A 22,188-nucleotide genomic window follows, 5' to 3' on the forward strand; every position below is an offset into this window, starting at 1 on the left:
TGATACTGTGCAGTAACAGTAAGCCCCAAGTCCCAGTCAGCCATGTGGTCAAAGGGTAAACAATCAGTACTGTGCAGTGTACTCTTCAATAAATTGTATGAGTTATTTGGCACTTTATTATAACATAGGCTTTGCATTAGATGATTTTGTCCAACTGTAGGCTAATGGAAGTGTTCTGAGCATGTTTAAGATAGGCTAAGCCAAGTAAGATATGATGTTCTGTAGGTTAGGTATATTACATTTATTTTTGACTTATGAGTTTTCAATTTACAAAGAACTTATTGAGTCATAACCCCACTGTAAGTTGAGGAGGATCTGCAGGTGTGTAGTGGTATCTGTGTTACTTCTTTGAAGAAGTGTCTGTTCAGATCTTTTACTCATTTTTAAAATCAGATTGTTTGTTTTCTTATTGCTGTTTTAAGAGTCCTGTGGATGCAAGTCCTTTATCAGATAGGTGTTTTGTAAAAATTTTCTCCCAATATTTGGTTTGTCTATTCATTATCTTAACAGTGTCTTTGTCAGAGCAGAAGCTTTTAATTTTAATGAAGCCTAACATCAATTTTTTTTTCATGGATTGTGCTTTAAGTGTTATATTCAAACTCATTGCCAAGCCCAAGATCACCTAGATTTTTTTCTATGTTATCGTCTGGAATTTTTATAGTTTGCATTGTATATTTACTTCTATGATCCACTTTGAGTTAATCTTTCTGAAAGGTGTAAGGTCAGTGTTTAGACTGATGTGAATGACTATTTGGTCCAGCATCGTTTGTTGAAAAGACTATCCTTCTGCATTGAATTGACTTTGCTTCTTTGTCAAGGTTCATTTAACTATATTTATGTGAGTCTGTTTCTGGGCTCTATTTTGTTCTATTTATCTAGTTATCTATATTTTCACCAATATCACATTGTCTTGATTACTGTAGCTTTGTGAATGTATGCATGTATTCATTTAAGAGATGAGGTCCCACTATGTGGCTCAGGATGGAGTGCAGTGGCTATTCATGGGCTTGATCCCACTTCTGATCAGCATGGGAGTTTTGGAGTGCTCCAGTTCCAATCTAGGCCAGTTTATTCCTCTTTAGGCAACCTGGTTGGTTCCCTGCTTTCAGCATATTGATGCTGAACTAAATGTGGACATCCAATTGGCATAGCACACAACAGCCCAGAACTCCTGTACTCAAGCAGTCTTTCTGCTTTAGCCTCCCAATAGCTGGGACTACAAGTGCATGCCACCATGCCTGTCAGATTACTGTAGCTTTATAGTAAGTCTTGAAGTTGAAGACTTTTTTTTTTTTTGAGACAGAGTTTCACTCTTGTTATCCATGCTGGAGTGCAATGGTGCAATCTCAGCTCACTGCAACCTCCACCTCCCAGGTTCAAGCAATTCTCCTGCCTCAGCCTCCCAAGTAGTTGGGATTACAGGTATGCGCCACCACGCCCAGCTAATTTTGTATTTTTAACAAGAGACAGGGTTTCACCATGTTGGTCAGGCTAGTCTCAAACTCCTGACTCAGGTGATCCACCCACCTTGGCCTCACAAAGTGTTGGGATTACTGGCATCAGCCACCGTGCCCAGCCTGAAGACTTTTATTTCTCCAACTTTGTTTTTCTTTGTCAGTATTATGTTGGCTATTAGTTTGTTTCCTTTCTAGATAAACTTTAGAATTTGTCCATATCCATAAAGTAACTTGTTTGGATTTTGATTGAGATTGCACCAAATTTATGGATTAAGTTGGGAAGAACTGACTTCTTAACAATATTGAGTCTTCTTATCCATGAACATAGAATATTTCTCCACTTATTTAGATCTTCTTTGATTTCTTTCATGAAAGTTTTATAATTTTCTTACATAGGTCTTGTACATATTTTGTTTGGTTTATACCTAAGTATTTCCCTTTTGTTGATGCTAGTCTAAATGGTATTGTGTTTTTAATTTCAAATTCCAATTGCTCATTGCTAGTATATAACTAAGCAATTGACTTATGTACATTAACCTTATATCTTATTTGTTTTTGGATTTGTGTTTTTATGATTCCATTTACCTCTACTATTGTTCTATTAGCTGTAACTCCTTGTGTAGTTATTTTAGTGATGGCCATAGGATTTGACAGTATATATCTTTAACTTATCACAGTCTATCTTGAAGTGATATTATACCACTTTACATACAGTATAAGAACCTTACGATAGTCTTAAAGTAGTTGTCATACATTTTACTTACACATAAATATACTTTAGTTATAAATCCCACACTGAGTTTTATTTTAGTCAATTATCTGTAAAATATATTTTGATAATAAGAAAATAAATTTAATAAATATATATTACCCAGTGGTTACCATTTCCTGTGATCTTTCCTTTGTATAGACTGATTTACTGAATGAGATTTACCTGAAGAATTTTCTCTATCAGGTCTTGTGGTGTAGGTCTCCTTGTGATGAATTATTTTAGCTTTTGTTTATCTGAGAGGTCTTTATTTTACCTTTGTTTTTGAAAGATATCTTTGTTGGGTATAGAATTCTAGATTGATAGATTTTTTTCTTTTAGCTTTTTGTAGTTATTGCTTTATTGTATTTTGACTTTTATTGTTTCTGACTAGAAACTGTGCTTATCCTTATCTTTGTTCCTCTGCATATATATATAATTTTTTTAATCTTGTTGTTTTTGAGATTTTCTTTTCTCTTCGATTTTGAGAAATTGATTGTGATGTGCCTTTGTGTCCTTTTCTTTGCTTTTTATGCTTGGGGTTTTCTTGAGCTTTTTTTGATATGTTTGTTTAGCATTTTCATCAAATTTGGAAAAATCTTGGCCACTATGTTTTCAAATATTTTTCTTCTCTCTCTACCTTCTCATCTTTGGGGTCTCTTACTACACATATATAAAGCTAACTGAAATTGTCCCACAGCTCACTAATGTCCCACAGCTCCATTCATTTTTCTTGGTTTTTTGTGTGTGTGTGTGTGTGTTTCAGTTTGCATAGTTTCTATTGTTATGCCTTCAAGTTCTCTAATCATCTCTTTTGCAATGTTTAATCTACCATTAATTCTATCCAGTGTATTTGTCACCTCAGACATTGTAGTGTTTACCACTAGAAATTTGATTTGGGTATTTTTAGTATTTCTATTGACTTTTCAAACATGGACTATAGTTATAAAGACTTTTTTTTTTTTTTTTTTTTTTTTTTTTTTTTTTTTTGAGATGGAGTTTCACTCTTGTTGCCCAGGCTGGAGTGCAATGGCATGATCTTGGCTCACCACAACCTCCGCCTCCTGGGTTCAAGTGATTCTCCTGCCCCAGCCTCCTGAGTAGCTGGGATTACAGGCATGCGCCACCATGCCTGGCTAATTTTTTGTATTTTTACTAGAGACGGGGTTTCTCCATTTGGTCAGGCTGGTTTCGAACTCCAGACCTCAGGTGATCTGCCCACCTTGGCCTCCCAAAGTGCTGGGATTGCAGGCGTGAACCACCATGCCCAGCCATAAAGACTATTTTAATGTTCTCGTGTTATGTAGCTTTGAAATGATTCCAGACACATAATTTGCTGCATGAATGATAAAAGTTTTGCTGTGGTAAGAACACAGAGTGTAATCTTCCTCCCCATGGAAATGTTATATCACACCTTATCAGACCACATATATGAACTCATATATGTCCTCAACTACTGGACTCTAAAACACATATAAACCCAAGATTTTGACAGATACGTTGAGAATGTAGGCTGTGGCAGGGCTACTCTCTGTTAGCCTTTGAGTTATTCTTTTGAGCCTGGCCAGCCAACATCAGCACCACTTGCTAGTGTTGAGGGACTTTTCATGTTGTTGTGGATCCCCATTGTGTTGGTCAAATCATCACTCCCTAGAATCTCTTGTAAAAAGATACGCCTCAGATGTTGTTTTTTGTTTGTTTTTGCTTTTTTAACTTAACAAATTGGTAATTGTTTTAACTTTTTTATTAGGTTCAGGGGTACATGTGCAGTTTTGTTATATAGGGAAATTCGTATCACAGGGTTGGTTGTACAGATTATTTCATTACCTAGGTACTAAGCTTAGTACCCAATCTTTTTTTTTTTTTTAGCTCCTCCCTCCTCCCACTCTCTTCCTTCAAGTAGGCTCCAGTGTCTGTTGTTCTCCTCTTTGTGTCCATCAGTTTTCATCATTTAGCTCCTACTGATAAGTGAGAACATGTGATTTGATTTTCTTTTTCTGTGTTAGTTCACTAAGGATAATGGCCTCCAGCTCCATCCATGGTCCCACAAAAGACATGATTTCATTCCTTTTTATGGCTGTGTAGTATTCCATAGTGTATATATATCACATTTTCTTTTTCCAGTCTGCCATTTATGGGCATTTAGGTTGATTCCATGTCCTTGCTATTATGAATAGTGCTGCAATGAACATACATGTGCTATGTCTTTATGGTAGAATGATTTATATTCCTTTGGGTATATACCCAGTAGTAGTATTGCTGGGTCAATATCTTTAAGTGTTACTGTGCCACTTTACGTATAGTATAAGAACCTTAACAATAGTCTTACAGTACTTGTCATACATTTAAATATACATTAGTTATAAATCCCACACTCGATTTTGTTTTAGTCAATTATCTGTAAAATATATTTTGATAATAAGAAATAAATATAATAAATAAATTTGAATTATCCAGTGGTTATCCTTTCCAGTGATCTTTCCTTTGTACACATTGATTTACTGAATGGTAGTGCTATTTTTAGCTCTTTGAGGAATTTTCACACTGCTTTCCACAATGGTTGAACTAATTTGCATTCCCACCAGCAGTGTATAAGTGTTTCCTGTTCTCCTCAACCTCTCTAGCATCTGTTAGTTTTTGACTTTATAATAATAGCCATTCTGACTTGTGTGAGATATTATCTCATTGTGGTTTTGATTTGCATTTCTCTAATGATCAGTGATATTGAGCTTTTTTCATATGCTCGTTGGCCATATATATGTCTTTTTTTGAAAAGTGTCTATTCATGTCCTTTTTAATGGGGTTGTTTTTTTCTTGTAAATTCATTTACATTTCTTATATATGCCGGATATTAGACATTTGTCAGATGCATAGTTTTATGCCTCAAACTTTGACTAGACTTTGTATTCATGGCGGCCTACTTCCACCCTAATTGGGCAAATAGACTTTAATAATTAGACTCTAAATGAAATGGAAACTCACACACTATGAGGTTAGTGTATCTCATTTATTGAGTGTATTCCCTAAGAGATTTGTTCTCATTATTCTCCACCTGTTTAAGCATTGTGGGGGAGAAAAGAATCTCTTTGTCAATAAGCCATGTGATTCATGAGTCGTATTTTAATCGTCTTCTTATTTTAACTATACAAAGCACCTTGTCTGCTAACTCTAGTATCTGTGTCAGTTCTGAGTTAATTTCAATTGGTTGATTTTTCTCCTCACTGTGAGTTGTATTTTCTTGCTTGTTTTGCATGCCTGGTTATCTTTGATTAGATACCAGACATTGTGAATTTCACCTTTTTGGGTGCAAGATATTTGTATTCCTATAAATTTTAAACTTTGTTTTGGGATGCAGTTAAGTTACTTGGAAACACATCCTTTTGGATCTTGCTTTCAGGATTTGTTTTGGCAGAACTATTTAATTTAAAGCTAATCATTCCCCACCATCAAGGCAAGACCCGTCTGAGTATTCTATCCAATGCTTCATGCATTATGAAGTTTTCCATTCTTATTCGTAAAAATAGGCATTATTCTTGGTCCTGTATGAGTGCCAGGCACTCTACCCTCTACTCCTCTCAGAGCATTCTTTCTCTAGCCTCAGGCAGTTTCCTTACATGCATGCACTAATCAGTACTCTGATGAATATTTGAGGGAGACTCTCTAAGATCTCTTCTGTGAACTTTAGCTGTCTTCTTTTCTCTGAATTTTCAGCTCCTTCTCCTCACTTCAGGGAGCCTGTTGGATTCCACCTGTGTTCCCTCTTCATGCAACACAACCTAGAAATTCTCTTAAGGTAATGGCCTGAGGAAATTGTAGAACTTTCCTTTTTTTTTTTTTTCCCTCATCTCTTACCAGATGTCCAGTGTCTTGAAAAGACATTGTTCTGTTTGTTTTGTTTCTTGAAAAGTATTGTTGGTTGTTTTAGGTGGTAGGGTAAATCTGGTCCCTGTTACTTAATCTTTGTCAAAAGCAAAAGTGCTCAGAGATCTTCCTTTAAGTTTTCATTGGTAGTTCTAGAAATGACCAATCACAAAACAGGGAATCTCTAACTGAAAGATCCATGACATTTCATTATAGAGAGTTAGGAAAGAGAATTAATCTGAGAATTACCATTATCTAGTCTTCCTCCCACTCATATTCTTCATAAACATTTGCATAACACAATTTTTTGTACCATTGTTGACCATATCAATGGGTAGATTACTGAATTTTGGGGGGAAAGACATGTACAAGCTACTAGAATGGTAAGTTTTGTTGAACATGTTATATAAAAGGAAATTACGCAAGGGGAGCTGGGTTGGTATCATAGTATAGTATTATATTTCTTTTTTTTTTTTTTGAGGTGGAGTCTCGCTCTATTGCCCAGGCTGGAGTGCAGTGGCGTGATCTCAGCTCACTGCAAGCTCCGCCTCCCGGGTTCACGCCATTCTCCTGCCTCAGCCTCCCAAGTAGCTGGGACTACAGGTGCCCGCCACCATGCCCAGCTAATTTTTTGTATTTTTTAGTAGAGACGGGGTTTCACCATGTTGGCCAGGATGGTCTCGATCTCTTGATCTCATGATCCACCCGCCTCGGCCTCCCAAAGTGCTGAGATTACAGGCATGAGCCACCGCGCCCGGCCTATATTTCTTTATAGAGGTAAAATAGGTGTGAGATTTTTGTTTTTACTTATTTTGCTTTGTTATTTGGGCTTCACTGGGGAACCAAGTGATTTTTGGCAAGAGAAGAAGCACAAAAAATACAGAAAAGCCTCTTCTTATGGTTCCTATAATGGCAACCAAGTCAATAAATGGTTGCAAAATTCAACTAGATTGCGATAGGGTAGTTACTGCTACTGCTTTATCCTTTTATAAATAGTCAGTTTGAAAAGTAGAAAAGTTCATGGGTAAAGAGCAGTAGCTAGAATGCAAATGTGAATCCAGGATGCAATATACAAAGGTTTTTGCAGTTTTCAGCAAGTGTGAAGAATTTCTGATTGATGAGGCCCTCAGAGCAGAAAGAGACCCTCCTCTGTCTATGTGTAAGATTAGTAACACATAGAGACGTGGTGTTCATCTGCCCAGTTTATGTGGCTAATTAGCATTTAGAGTTTCTTCAATAGAAGCTAGTGAAGTAAGAACTAGATAATATCTTGGAAGATCTTTTTGTTTCTTCTGTCTTGCACTTTGAAGAGGGGCTCAGACTGTTGAATTGGAATAGAACAATTAAACAGACTGTAAAATGAAGTCCTGACATGCTGGTTGCTTTGCCTGCTCTGTCAGAGCAGCACTGGTTCCAGGGAGAGAGAATACTAGTTTTGTTTATTTGTTTGTTTCCAGACAATTTGCTATGTCATCACTTTTTTTGTGTGTGCATGCGCCAAGTGTTTGAGGTTGATAATGTTGACAGAGTCCTTGCAGAATGGAAGTTCATCTCCACAGGGAAAGGCTTTGTATTTCAAGTTTTAAAATTCCAAAATATTTTGCTATAACATTGTTATTCCTAGTTTTTTATGCCTTTTTGTGTGGAAGGTTGGTTTCTCCTTTATCTACTTACCAGCTTTTAGGGGAATCCCTTTTTAAGTCAAGAAAGCACCTTAGAAAATTTCTCTCTCTCTCTCTCTCTCTCTCTCTCTCTCTCTCTCTCTGCCTTTATGAAACTGACAGTAGCATATCTTGCTATTCTTGGGTCTTAGTTTGGAATTAAGCTGTGCATGCAGTATGCCCAGAAGGCTCAGTTTTTAAAAAATTTCTATGTTTATTCGTATTTAACTTCATTCTAATGGGGTCATGTACACTGTGATATTTATTCATGAAATATTTAGGAAAAGATAAAATGTTTGAACTATAATGAATTATGATTTTATTATCCTTTTATTAATGATAATACACCCAATGCTATTCTTGAAAGTTTGAAAATGGAAACCTTGGTAAATTTTTTTTCTTTTGGCAGAATTTTGAACTTTTTTACATAAAAGTGTAAACCTTTGTTTGGTATTATGGGTCACCTGGTTCCATAGCATCTCTTTGATTTAAAGAGGATATCATCCATTTAAAAAGGACTCACAGCCAGGCATGGTGCCTCATGCCTATAATCCTAGCATTTTGGGAGGCTGAAGTAGGCAGATGCTTGAGCTCAGGAGTTCGAGACCAGCCTGGGCAACATGGTGAAACGCTGTCTCTACAAAAAATACAAAAATTAGCCAGGTGTGGTGGCATGCACCTGTGGTCCAAGCTACCTGGGAGACTGAGGTGGGAAGACTGCTTGAGCCTGGGTGGTTGAGTCAGCAGTGAACCATGATTACACCACTGCACTCCAGCCTAGTTGACAGAGCAAGAGCCTATCTCAAAAACAAAATAAGCAAAAGGGACTTACTTTGGGGATTTGGAGAACTAGAAAATATTATTATTCATATTAACTTACACCCATAAAAGAGTGCTATTAAAAGTTCACTTAATACAAGGGCTTCTTTTTCTTTGCTTTGGATTTAAACAGGTTTTCTATAAGCTAATCAACAGAGATTTGATTAACATACTTAAGCATGTTATATGAAAGGGATGGCATTGTGAAAGATGGGGATACTATATAGAAGTAATAAAATAAAAGGTATGGAATTAGGTAGTGTAAGAATTTCAGAACTAAAATAGTCTGAGAAGTCATTTGGAACATGGATTTCTTTTGACAGAAAACTTCTGTCCTGCAGTATATCAGCCTTGTCCAGCAGAGCTGGTTAGTGCAGATAGAAGAACCTAGGTTGCTTAACTACCAGTTCACTGTCCTTTCTATTATATTGTAATTCTGTTTTCTGTCTTATTTCAGAAGCAGCAATCCAGATGAGCTCTACATCCTGAATAAAAACAATAATAATGGCAATAACAAACTATTATTTTTTTAAGAAATATGACTTAAACCTATTTGTTTTTATTTATTTGGTTTGTTTGTTTATTTATATGTAGTTTGTCAGAAAACCATAGGAGTCAGGCATTGGGTAGCTCGTGGCCATTAGTATTATTTTCAAAGTCAGAAATCATTGGAGAAGAATCCCCTTCTAATATAAATTTTTAAACTATTCATCTGAGTGTTTAGGAAGCTGTGATCTCTGCTGTGATAATCCTAGAAGACATTGCTCAAGCCACAGCTGGCTATTATTGAGACTATGGAAAGAGAAAGAGCTTTTGCCCTGATTTATCCCATAAAATGAATAATAGGCCACATTCAGGGAGACCTAGCTTGTGGCAGACTATTCTCACCACACCCTTCACACAGCCTTTTTTTTTCTTCTCCCATCCCAAGCCACCATCCCAACCTGCCTTGACTAAACTCAATGAACAGGAACCATTGTATGAATCGGAAGGAAAATGTCTTAAATATATGAAGTTATAATGAGTTGGTAAGTGCTGTAAAAATACTCTGTAACTTAGTTGGAAGTTGCATCATCCATGCCTGTGGCACTATGGACTGGACCCAAATGGTATAATTCTTCAGTGTAACACTGAAGTAATTTTTGCATCTGCCAAGTAAATGGTTTAGATTTCAAACCTATGAAATGCCGAACTGTAATTGTTCAATTCTAGTGAACCACAGATGTGTTTAATTTCCTTCCTTTACTTTTTGCTGTCTTCTTTAGGTAAGCTGAACCAACTAAAGAGTGGCCTTATGTGAATCTACAAAGTGAACTTTAACGTCAGTCAGTTAATATACTTTAACACCTAAATGTTGTATAACACTGCTCTATATAGCACTTTTAAATGTATAAAATTTTTGATAGAGGATAAGTCCATTTCATTTAGGGAAAACAGTTGTTTCAACCACATGTATTATAATAGGAGTAAAAGTGGCATATCGTAATGAAAGAACACGGGAAGTCAGAAAACCTGGATTTATTTTTGCCTCTCCTGTCGATTCTTCATTTGATCCGGCCTGAATAATTTCCTTTTCCTTTAATTTCTATATCTGCTGAAGGTGAATAATAATACTTTCATTGGCCACATAGAGGTGCTGGGAGAATGAAAGATAAATTCTCCCAAAGCACTTTGAACTGCCTAGAAGAAAGACTTATTTAAACAAAAGTTGATTCTGTTTTCTATCTTTTTATTTCTTACAAGCAGACACCAAAGTAAGTGTTAGAAGAGCCTCAAAGATTTGGTTATTTTTTTTTTGCAACTTTTATTGTAGGTGAGAAGGTTAATATAATTGCCTTCATTGTATAAACAGGGAAACTAATGCTCCCAAAAGGTTTGTTTTGGGGCTTAAAATGAGTAGCCCTTTATGAGAATAGGGGAAATTGATGGGGGTGTAGATGTAATAACATCAGCCATGAGTTGACAATTATTAAAGCTGGTAATGGGTGTGTCTGTTTAGGGGGGTTATCATGAATACTATCATGTCTACCTTGTCTTTGAAATTTTGTATTAAAAAGTTAAAATTTAAAAAATTGATTAAAAAAATAGCTCATTTTCATTTGCAAGGTTCTTTTAAAAATGCTATTGAGGCTGGTCACGGTGGCTCACGCCTGTAATCCCAGCACTTTGGGAGGCTGCGGTGGGCGGATCATGAGGTCAGGAGTTCGAGACAAGCCTGACCAACATGGTGAAACCCTGTCTCTACTAAAAATACAAAAATTAGCCAGCCACGATGGCGTGTGCCTGTAATCCCAGCTACTCGGGAGGCTGAGGCAGAAGAATCACTTGAACCTGGGAGGTGGAGGTTGCAGTGAGCTGAGATCGCACCACTGTGCTCCAGCCTGGGTGACAGAGCAAAACTCCATCTCAAAAAAAAAAAAAAAAGACAAAGTATATGCTTGGACCCTGAACACAGACATTTTAGTTTTTCATACTCAGTTTTTACATTCTATTTCCAATGCTTTCTAACCATTTACTACTTTTAACATATTATGCCATTTCTTTAGCGTTAATATATTACACTTTTTTCTTACTCCCGTTCCAGATGTTTGTCATGTGCTTTGTTGTCAATTTTAGATTTTCATTTTCCTATTTTTGGGAATTATAAGCAGTCACTTATTAACCCAATTACTTTATGCTTCAATGGGCTTGTCATTGGGTAGCCATGTGAATTATTTCAATTTTTAGAGACACAGATCAACCTGCTACCCTATACCCACAACAGAAAACTGCCGACTTCCCCATTGTAGGAACTTACAATCAAACGGCATTTGAAACATGTGAGAACACTCCTATTATTAAAAAAAAAAATCACCCTCAACCTGGGTTATTTTCACTGACAGACTTCATGGTTAAAGCTTGCTATTTCATGAGCTCCCAGATGACGCAAATGCTGGGAAATGTAACATACTCACTGTGATTTGTTTTTAGACATCAAAAGAAATCCATTTTACAAAGGAATCATATAACTTTAGAGCTAAGAAAGATCTTAATAATCATCTGGTATAGATCTTTCCATTTATTTATGCCAGAACCTAAAATTAGAAAGGCCAGGTAATTTGCTCAGTGTTACATACCTTAGTATGGCAGAGCTGGAACTTGAACCTGAGTTCCCTAGCTTTCAATTCAGAGTTCTTAATAGGTTGCCACTCAAGTGCAGTCAGGTCTTTGATGCTATTTGTGAACACCAAATATGTCTCTGCTTCTTACAACTTAGAAATCTTACTCTGTTTTGCAATGCCCTGCCAAGTCATATTGGAGCCTGAGGCAAAATGAAAGACCAATGACACTGATCCTGTCTTTATTTAAAATTCTGATATTTTCTTCACTATGGATTTGTGGGATTAATTTTGATTTTTTAAAATATTGCATTAAATATTATATCTTGACTACTGAGTTTTTTAGTAGCTCCTAAAATTTTGCATTTGAAGTGGGTGCCTTGCTTGATTCACCCTAGTCCCAATCCTATTATTTTTGCTTTAATCTACTAAATCCCTTTTTCAGCCTTCTGGCAATAAAATAAAATCAACCTATGGAACCTTTATAAGCAAACCCATACTATTGGCCACTTACAAACAATGGTGGCAAACAAACCAGAATCTGCAAGTGCTTTTCATTGGCTTGATTGTTGGTAACATTGCATGGTAATTACATAGTCATTTTTGGCTCCATGAATTGAAACTCTCTTGGAATGTCTAGCAGTTTATTGAAAAGAGCTCAAAGCCAAGACGTGAGTTCTTTTGTTTGATCCTTCACAGTATTGTGTTTTAGGCTCTTATATCGTTGTGTTTGTTTTGATTTCTATAAATTGGGACTCAAGGGAAGGAAGCTCTTTATAGGCCTATTATTTTCATTTTACTTGGTCCTCTCAACACCTGTTTGAGATAGGCACTTTATAGGCTAAAACCAACTCACACTGACTTAAGTTAAAAGAGAATTCACTAGCTAACACAATTGAAAAATCTAAGGAGTAGATCTGACTTCAGGTATTACACATCATTTTGTCAGGGCTTTCTCTCTCGTGTTTTCTACTGGGTTGGCTTTATTATTATTCAGGTTTTTCCTGTGTAGTAGCACCAGGTGTATACTCTACTAGCTTAGCAACCTTAGTAGAAAGGGAATGAATCTTTCCTGATTGCTTGAGCCAGAGTCTCAGAATTGAGTATAATTGGCCCAGCATAGGTCACATGCACATCCCTGCACTAGGCATTAAGGCCTGGCGAATGCAATTAAATCACTGGCTGAACCTGGTTCATGTGTTCAACCCTGGGTCAGGGACTGGATTGAGAGTAGAAGAGATCTGTTTCCTCTAAAGGAAGAGACGACTTTTTAAGTCTTTTCCCCCCAAAAGGGATTCTGGACAGGGAAAGACAAATGTCAACTAAAATGTTACTATTCTCACTTCATTTATGAGGAAGTTGAGGATTAATTAAGTGAATTTTCACGAGGCTGCATAGCTAATGAGTGATAGGATCTTAACTTTGACCCAAATCTGCCTAAATCTAAAGCCCATCTCTTTTCTCCACACCTTGTATCCCTAGAACATCATGCTTCTTCCTCCTTCTCCTTAATGTGAAACCATGATGGTTGCCATCACTTTACAGCAGTATTCTTCAAAAAGGAGGGATTTTGCCCCCAGAGGAAATTTGGTAATTTCTGGAGACATTTTTTTATTGTCACAACTGTGCACAGAGGTGAGTGTGGTGCTACTGTATAGAGGCTAGGATGCCTATACCTCCTGTAGTGCACAGAACAATTCCTCACAACAAAGAATTACCCAGCCTAAAATGTCAGTAGTGGTAAGGTTAAGAAACCCTGCTTTTTAGGTTCAATTTCTCGGCTGTTACTATTAACATCAGTTTTGAGAGAAATAAGTAATAGAGAGCAGGATTGAAATAATTCATACATGTAGGTATAATTAAGTTGTCTCTTAATTCAGGGAAACTTCCTTTAATTTCCATAGAAGCTAACTTTAGAATATTGAATTATCTTGGTTAGTGAGTAAATTGCAATAGAACGTAAATTCCTTTTTAAAATATTTGTTTTATGCAAGTTTAAGCTAACTTCCCAGACATAATTTTTCATTCTAAAATAAGTCCTATAATTTTTTTCTTAAAATAGAAATCTAGGGATATTTTAAATTGAATACTGAATGCTTTTAAAGGAAATATATAAGTTTATCTCAAAAGCCTTTTAATATTTCATATAGAAGTTTCTATACCAGGGGAAATAATTATTTTTTAAAATCCGAGCTGCCGGGCGTAGTGGCTCACGCCAGTAATACTAGCACTTTGGGAGGCGGAGGCAGGCGAATCATGAGGTCAGGAGATCGAGACCATCCTAGCTAACACGGTGAAACCCCGTCTTGACTAAAAATACAAAAAATTAGCCGGGTGTGGTGGCGGGCGCCTGTAGTCCCAGCTACTCGGGAGGCTGAGGCAGGAGAATGGTGTGAACCCAGGAGGCAGAGGTTGCAGTGAGCCAAGATTGTGCCACTGCACTCCAGCCTGGATGACAGAGCGAGAATCCGTCTCAAAAAACAAAACAAAACAAAACAAACAAACAAACAAAACTGAGCCAAAGCATTTCTAAAACTTTGGATGATAATAAGGGATTTAATGTACTAAAAAGCATACAGAAATTTTCTTCCTGTAAGCATGTGCTTTGTGAAAGAATAATGAAAGCAGAAGAATGCGTTAAATGTATTATAGCTGCAGTTATTGGGTTTGACACTTCAGAGAAATCAACCTTCTTGTTAAATGACATGAAAATAGTTTATACTGTCTGACTCCTTGAGACTTGCAAGTCGTTTCTGAATTGTGCATATCTGAATGAATCCAGGGAAAGCTGTGCTTCTGTAGTCAAACCACAGATAATATTCTAGTAGAAGAGCTGAATGAGTAGAGTGATACTACAGATGGATTTCATATAAGAAATCTTTTACAATCCAGCAAGTCAAATTTATTGTTGGAGTCGGAAGATTTGAGGCTTAGCATTTTCTCGTTTTGCCAGTTTTATACAAATAATTCTTCTTGTTTTCCAAATTCTCATGACTGTATGCAGCATGGAATTACAAGTCCATTCCTTTCTCTGGTTCTTTTTAACCTTATCAGACCCAACCCAGATCAATGAACATTCCTCTGATTTCAACTGAATAATTCTGACTTGCTTTGATATCTCACATGGATGACTTTCTTCCCATCTCTCCTATCCCCCGATGGTCCTTCAGCTCATGCCTGTCGTGCCCATTTTTTTGGCCTCACTTCTTTACCTAATCTCAGGAATACTCATTGCTTTTTCTATTTCTTCTATTTTTCTTTGGCCTCTCTTTCCGCTCCCATATTAAATTTCCTCCTTGGCTATAACGCCTGCCTTCTTCTGTTTCCCAAGTCCTATTTACTGGCTCTGTATCCTTAGACTCACTTGTTTCTTAATTCATATCCTCATCTACTAAGGTGCCTAATGGCCACCCACCTAGCATATTTTAGTAAGGCATGTGTGTACAGACAGGTCACCTATTCATTGTTAATAGAATTCAATTTGCAGTTTCCCTGGAAATAAGGCAGTTTCTGATCTTCAAATCACCCAAGTTCTTACTCGTTAGAATGCAAGTTCCTTTGTCACATTAGGAAGGACAGTAATATTTATTTATGAAAAAGTTGAAAAAATACTGTAATAAATGGTGCTGGGTTAATTAATATATTATTAATATGGTCCTATTTTTCTTGAGAAGAAATGTTCTTGAAGATTTGAAATTTCTTATCTGTTTACAAACATTTTCCTGGTGCCATCAGCAGTTTATTCCTCTTTACTGCTTTGTGATAGGGCTTGGTATTCCCAATTTTACAGAGCAGAGATGACAGGTCACTTGACTAAACAAGTGACTTATTTAGAATTTCACAGGAAAGTAATTACAGAGCCCTTAAATTTCCTGTCTCTTACTTCTATGATATAAAACAATTTACTTTGCATTCCTTATTTATATAAATGCCTTAGAGCATTTCCTTTCCTTTAATAAAATCATGAAGACTATCACCTGGTAATGAAATTGTTAGGATGGAAGAGAAATGAACTAGGCACAGTGTACGTGAATTTGATTATTGCCTTTTCAACTGTCTAATAATGGGAGCTGTGGGCTCATAGGCTCTCCTTTTGAATTGTGAAAACTATACTTATTTTATACTACATTGGTGAAGTTCCCTGAAGTCCTTAAAAAACAAACAAGATTTAAAGTGCAAAATGTTATTGTTAAGTTAAAATGACCCTTGTGTGTTTGCAAAGCTCCGCGGGCTTTCTGGGGCTAGTGATCCCCTTGGTGAGCATTGTGGAGTGTGGTGGGAACCAGCCATGTTTTGGTGATTTCTTTTAGATTTCTAAAACTGTTTTTCTGTTGGGTTGAAGTGGGAAAACAGCTTTGGAACTGCTTTTGGTGTTGCTCTGAGTGTGTTTGGGAGTGCATTCCAATAGTTTGTGAGGGGATGTTAGCTGTTCAGGAAAAATAACCCTTACCAAAGGTAATGGTTCCCACTAGCATTTTCAGTAACATGTACCAGATGTGGGTAGTTAATTATTCTCAGATCTGATAAATACCTGCCAGCCAAGCCTAATTTTATTTTCAGTAAACAGTGGCCAAAGGTCCTAGCTGTTCATTTGATAGGATGGGCCTGTTTGCACTTATCTATTAATAAAAGCACAACACTCCTTTAGTTTTCCTTTCCCAGGGCCAGATAAAACATTTTAGACACTCACGTATTTGTCTTAGTAAATCAGACAAAGTAAACAAATCTGGTAGATTAACTTGGTAAATAGAGTGTGGTTAAGTGTTACCTTTGGAGTTGAACTCAGTGCCATATAAATAGCATTAATCGCATGGTATTTTCAATAATCTTTATGGAGTAAAACGGAGGGTTGTTTTTTTCTTTCAACCAACAGGGACTTAAGTATATTTCTTAAGTACTTTCAGATGTTCTTCTGTATGGAGATTTTAAAATCACTTTAAAATGAAATTTATTCTTTTGTCCCATTAGTAACTTGTTGGGAACTTTGTACTAGTTAACATTATGTTTAAAAACCTGGAAACCTCTATAGTTCATCTCAGAAGAAAAATAGGACTACATAGTGGCATGCAAGCTTTGCCAGACAGAGATAATGGCCATCTAGAGGTTACTGATTTGGGTGGAACAGTGAAAATGGGGCCGCTTTTATGGGGAAGACAGTGGCTGGTAGGCAGAAATTCACTTTATTCATATGCATTTTTTTTCCTCTTGGGTAAAGAGTTTTATTAGGGTCAGAAGTACTATTTATTTTTGTGAGGTAAATTCTTGTCTTGTGAGAACTGGCATGAAACAGACTCATTATTTCACACTAGCCAACAAAACAGTATTTTATCAAAGTAACTTCTAGTCAGTCCAAGACTGGACTGGATTTGTACTGGTAACCTGGTGGTGCAGGGCTCTAAGTCTCATGCCAGCTCTTGTCTCCCTCATTAAACTTCCTTTTTTAGTAATGATTAAAAACAACTCTCTTTACTACAATATATTTTCTCATTGGCTTTATACTCGAAGTTGCAAGTACTTTATAAAATTATTTTTAGTTTTGCATGCTGTATAATAATCCATCTAATTTGGTAAGCATAGTACATAAAAGAAATAGCTGAAAGGCTTTAGAGAAAGTTCCCTACTCATACCTCCCCCTTTACAATGATCTCGGCATTAATATCTTATGCTGTAAGAGGGTGGCCTGGCACAGTACCATGAATATTGTGCCCGATACCCAGTGGTAACCTACCAATGATTGTTATGAAAATGATGGTGATGATAGTATAGGGGAGAGAGTGTAAACCAAAAGTTGAGATCTGTATTCTGTTTTCAGCTTCATTTTAATGGCCTACTGGAAGACCAGGTACATTATTTCTGCTCTTTTTTTTTTTTTTTTTTAGTTTCTCCAGCTATACATGAAGAAAAAAGTCCTAGTCCACTAGCCAACCTGACAGGCATGTTGTGAAAACTAATGAAAGTATAAAGTTCTCATAGTCCGAAGCATAAAAGGTGCTGTAACCAATAGGTACAAAATACTAATTATTATTTTTACAGTTCAGCATAGTAAATCTTTGGAGTAAATTTTTTTCATTATATTTACTAGTCTTTCCTTTAAGAATTATTTGCCAAATTTAACTCTTTTTCTCTTTTAATTAGACCCAGAGTATAGTAAAAAAATTGATGGTTTGGCTTTCAGAAAGAGTTATTTTGTTATCTGTACCAAATTTTCAATTAAATATTTTTAGCTGTGAATCAAGTTTCATCTTCAAAAGTGTCTTCAATTTTAAATAATTTGAGAATACTTACCTGGTTAGTAGGCTAAACTAACGTAGTAGGGAAGAGAGTGTAAGAAAAGTGCTGTTGAATTCATCATTCCCATTAGCACCAGTCTGCGGATTCCCAAACATGTATTTCTAGGCTCAGATATTTTTCCTGATCCCCAGACTTATTAATCCAGGAACTAGTCAACTTCTTTACCTGGATGCCCTGTAATGATTTGTAGCACAACATACATAAAACTTAATATTCTGTTCCTGAATTTGCTCTCTCTGTGAATGGAATATCTATCCACCCCATCTCTCAAGCTGAAAAACCCTCACCCCATTTCCTCAACATCTGTAGATTTAACTGTCTTAATACTTTATGCCCCTTATCTCCATCCCACAATTACTACCTTAATTCGGCTTTTGCTCTTCTGTCACCGGGCAGCTGCAATTGTCTTCCTGCCACCAGTCTGGTCTCATTACAGTCTACTCTCGATACCATTTCCAGATTAACCTTTACAAAATGCAAATCATAGAATATTACTGTCTCATTTTAAAAATATTTAGTGGTTTCTTGTGTGCTATAAGACAAAGTTTACACTCTTTATATTGGTTATTGAAATCTTAATAATCTTTACCTTGTTTCTAGTCTTGAATCCTCTTATGACCTCTGTTCTAGTCACACTGAAAGTTTGTGGGTTCCAAAACATGCCATGTTGTTGGACATTCTACATTCTCTCCACCCACTTCTTTAATTGCCAACACTGTTTTATATTTTAAAACCTAATTCCAGTGTGAAGTCTTTTGTAACTCCCTCCTTGTATCCCATCATACCCTGTATATACTTCTTACATAGTTCCTATAAAACCTATAGCACGTATTTTGTGTATATCCTTCCCTTCCTGCTTTATTGTATGAGAGATTATGTCTTGTTTATTTTTGCCTTTCAACGTCCAGCTCAGTGGTTGGTACAGAGGTAGCACTTGGTAGATTGATTAGATAGTGGGTGGAGTAAAATTCTATGACCATATTTTCCTCCTCAAGTTCTACTCCCTTTTCAGTGTTGCATGGAAATGGCTTTTTAAAGTACTCAGATTAAGATTTGATGGGTAGACGAGGTCTTTACTTAATTGGTATGATTGATGGGACAACAGGAATACTCCTGTAACCACTATACCTACCCAAAGATTTCATAGACAGTCTGACATTTCCCCATGAAAAGTCATTTATTAGAGTTCTGATATTCTACTTATTATACTCCCTGCCCTCTTTAGCACTTTATAGGTACAAAGTCCTCCCATAAACATTATCTTATTTAATTTTTAAAACAAGCTTATGAGATGGATTTTATTGTATATACTTTAACTTTATCTCTAAAGCATATACAATATAATTTGCACCCTTAGGCAGATCTGTGAATTGCTTTGAAGAATAACTCGCTATTCTTTTTCGTGATTTGGACTACTCTGATAGTGACACTGTTTTGCTAAGCTGTGAGAGTTTGGAAGTGTCTCCCATAATTTTGACACTAGATTTTATTGGGTACAGCACAAATATCACTCCTTGGGGTGGGCCACATAGTCACGGACCCACAGATACTCAGATAGGAAGAGGCTCTAAAGGACATTTTCTCTTTATATATGGAATTGTATGAAATTTAATAGAAATGGATCTCTAGAATTTTACTCCTTTTAATCAGGACAGTAGTACAAAGCAAAACTTTTGTACACTGCCTAGCATGGTGCTCAGTTCTGCAAACGTCTTTTATGTCTTTGATAGTGATGGTGGTGATGATTTAGAAGCAGTTTTTGCCCATATACATATACCATGGTAAAGCAGTTTTCTCGTTTACCAACGATCTATGAGGAGCATTATTTTTATAGATCTTAGATATAAATTCTCTCCTTCAGACTGTTTGCCTGAACCTTAAAATGTAGCATGATTACACAAGCACTCTGGAATTTAGATTAAACAGCATTCAATTTGAAAATCTAATCATATCATCTAAATATCATTAAGTAATAATAGGCTGATTGATAGGGACCAAAGCTGTTTTGGCCTGGTGTTGCATGCCTTTCACTCAGCCAGCCTTTTCAAACCAAGATGTTGATAAAGAGGTCTATAAATCTTAATAGTTGGAGACAGTTTAAAAGCATAGTTCACTGGATAAGGTCACACCCACTTAAGTGACCTATTTTGTATACTTTTCAAAAATAGGTTAATTAACTTAATAGAAATAAGACTCTCATATTGATGTGCAATTACTACTAAAACAGCTTTGTTTTTTTTTCTTTCCAAGTGAACATGATGTTCATGAAATTGAGGGCATAATAGCCATGACAAGAACCAGGCTTAGCAAGGCAGGTCATGTTCAGCGAGTACATTTCAGACTTCCCCTTTAAAATCCTCTTTTATTCCAGGTCCTAGGACATAAGCATACACCTCCATCAGAGCAGTTTATTCCTGGCTCTCTCCTATTTCAGTTTTTAGGAGGGATTATTCTAGCTGTTGTTGTTTTCCTAATCACTATAACAGCACTTTATATAGTTTCTGATCCCTGAAGACTCCAGCTTGCATAGTAAGCTCAATGAATTTTGGTCTCTTTTTCTTTTAATCTGAGGCTTTCTTCATTTTTCTAACAGATGGATGATTCATTTGCTACCCTGGGAGAAGCATGGTTTCAGAGGAGGATACAGTATAAAAGGGCAAGGGAGTACCCAGACCAGAGTCATATTCTGGTTATATTCTCCTCATACAGCCTGCTTTCATTTGTTGTTGTCGTTTAGTGCCCATTTCAAATTTTCTGCTCCTAAAGCCTTTTATCTACTCTTAGTCTTCTTATTGATGATTATAACCTTCTTAGTCTATTATTGGTCACTAATTTTGCATAATTTGATTTTCCCATTCATCTGTTCCTTAACATATAACCCCTTAATGTTTTATATCGTAAGTTGAGTACATGGGCATTTATTATTCTTTGAACTTTTAAATATATTTTAAATAACATATACATTTAGAAAAGTTAACCTCCTCCCCCAGTCTGATATCTTGTATCACACATAACTCTCTGTGTAGATGTTGCTGAGTCCTGCTGGCTCGAATTTTCCTGTGGCCAGATGGTCTGAGAGGCAGTTAGTGATGCACATTCATGGAAGGGTGGGTTCTTGCAAGGTAGCCATGATGGGTATATTTGAATTGATGGATATATGTTGATCTGATGGGCGTATTTTGAATTAGAGGTTCTAATATATATAGCAGAGGTTCTAGATGACCTCTTTGTTCACCTTACAGTAGTGTCATTTCTCTGCTTGTTTGCACTGCACTTACAGCAAAGACTTTTCTAAATTAAACAAGTCTTGTTTATATGTTTTGTGTATGTGATCACAAAAAATAGCAAAGAATACTGTTCTATGGACTCTTAGCTGTGGTGGAAAGAACCATTGAAACTCTCTCAGCCTTTAGTTCTTCATTAGGAAGATGCCTTTCTTACTGAGGGTTGTAATGATTGTGAAGTCCAGTTTTCTGACTTCTCCATTAGGGAATAAGAGAACTCTTTGGTTTTAAATTGAAAGATGGAGTGATTCACTCTCCAGTGTAGGAGGGAACCTACTCTACTTGAATTTGCTATATTTCTTTATTTCCTAGGAAAATGTTGGTGGTTTTCCCTCCCAAGCATTCTCTCTAGAGTTTAGCAGCATCCTTTCCTTGAAAGCAAAGGCCTCATTTCCTATTTCTTTCATATCCTTTAATTTGCCTAGTACAGGGTCCATTTCATAGTAAGCACTCATTAAAAACATTTTAGTTAATTAACTACAAAATGTCTGGCTCAGGTTTAGGAGAGAATGAAAGATTGGGCAGGGGAAGTACTGGCACACAGGAGAATTAAAATCAGAGGATATCCTTTTTATTACTAATTCTTTTTCCAATAATAAAAGTACTCTATTTTCCTTATTTAAGAAAGCTATCATTTAAAAAATTAGTGTTCTAAAACCACACCCTGAAATGACTACTGTTAACATTTTGTCATATTTCTTACTAGTCTTATTTTATACACATTTAAAATTTTTACATAGTTTAGCTTATATTTTATGGTTTTTATATAGTATTTTTTACTTATTTTATCATCTCATCCTATTAAAAACTTTTTTGTCAAAGGAATTTTAATGGCAGCAGAATTGTTTATTTCACAACTGTAATATGAATTCTATAACCATTCTAGATGTTGGACATTTAGGCTGAATCTATTTTTTCATGATTATAATTAGCAAGTTGCCTTTTGGAAAGGCTATACAACTTTTTATT

The 22,188-nt window shown here is 36.2% G+C and overlaps 1 protein-coding gene, 1 long non-coding RNA gene and 1 pseudogene across 14 annotated transcripts in view, besides 1 other annotated feature; 1 reads left to right on the plus strand and 2 right to left on the minus strand.

Annotated features, from left to right (window-relative positions):
* LOC105370546 (uncharacterized) overlaps positions 1–18,572 on the minus strand; it is a 45,990-nt gene extending 27,418 nt beyond the window's left edge. For both annotated transcript variants that reach the window (XR_943976.3, XR_943977.3), the window contains exons 1-2: positions 18,525–18,572; positions 18,297–18,400 (exon numbers count right to left, since the gene is read on the minus strand). This is a non-coding gene — a long non-coding RNA (uncharacterized LOC105370546). The remainder of the gene's footprint in view (positions 1–18,296; positions 18,401–18,524) is intronic.
* RAD51B (RAD51 paralog B) overlaps positions 1–22,188 on the plus strand; it is an 863,318-nt gene that overhangs the window by 328,887 nt on the left and 512,243 nt on the right. The gene's annotated exons all lie outside the window — the stretch shown is intronic.
* Positions 952–1,243, minus strand: RN7SL706P (RNA, 7SL, cytoplasmic 706, pseudogene; annotated as a pseudogene).
* Positions 19,461–20,678: an enhancer, noted in NCBI's record as "VISTA enhancer hs1392". NCBI's record gives its function as "enhancer in: limb[4/9] | heart[8/9]" and the evidence as "EXISTENCE:transgenic organism evidence [ECO:0001131][PMID:17130149]".

The sequence above is a fragment of the Homo sapiens genome, chromosome 14 (genome assembly GCF_000001405.40).
Source record: "Homo sapiens chromosome 14, GRCh38.p14 Primary Assembly".
NCBI lineage: Eukaryota > Metazoa > Chordata > Mammalia > Primates > Hominidae > Homo > Homo sapiens.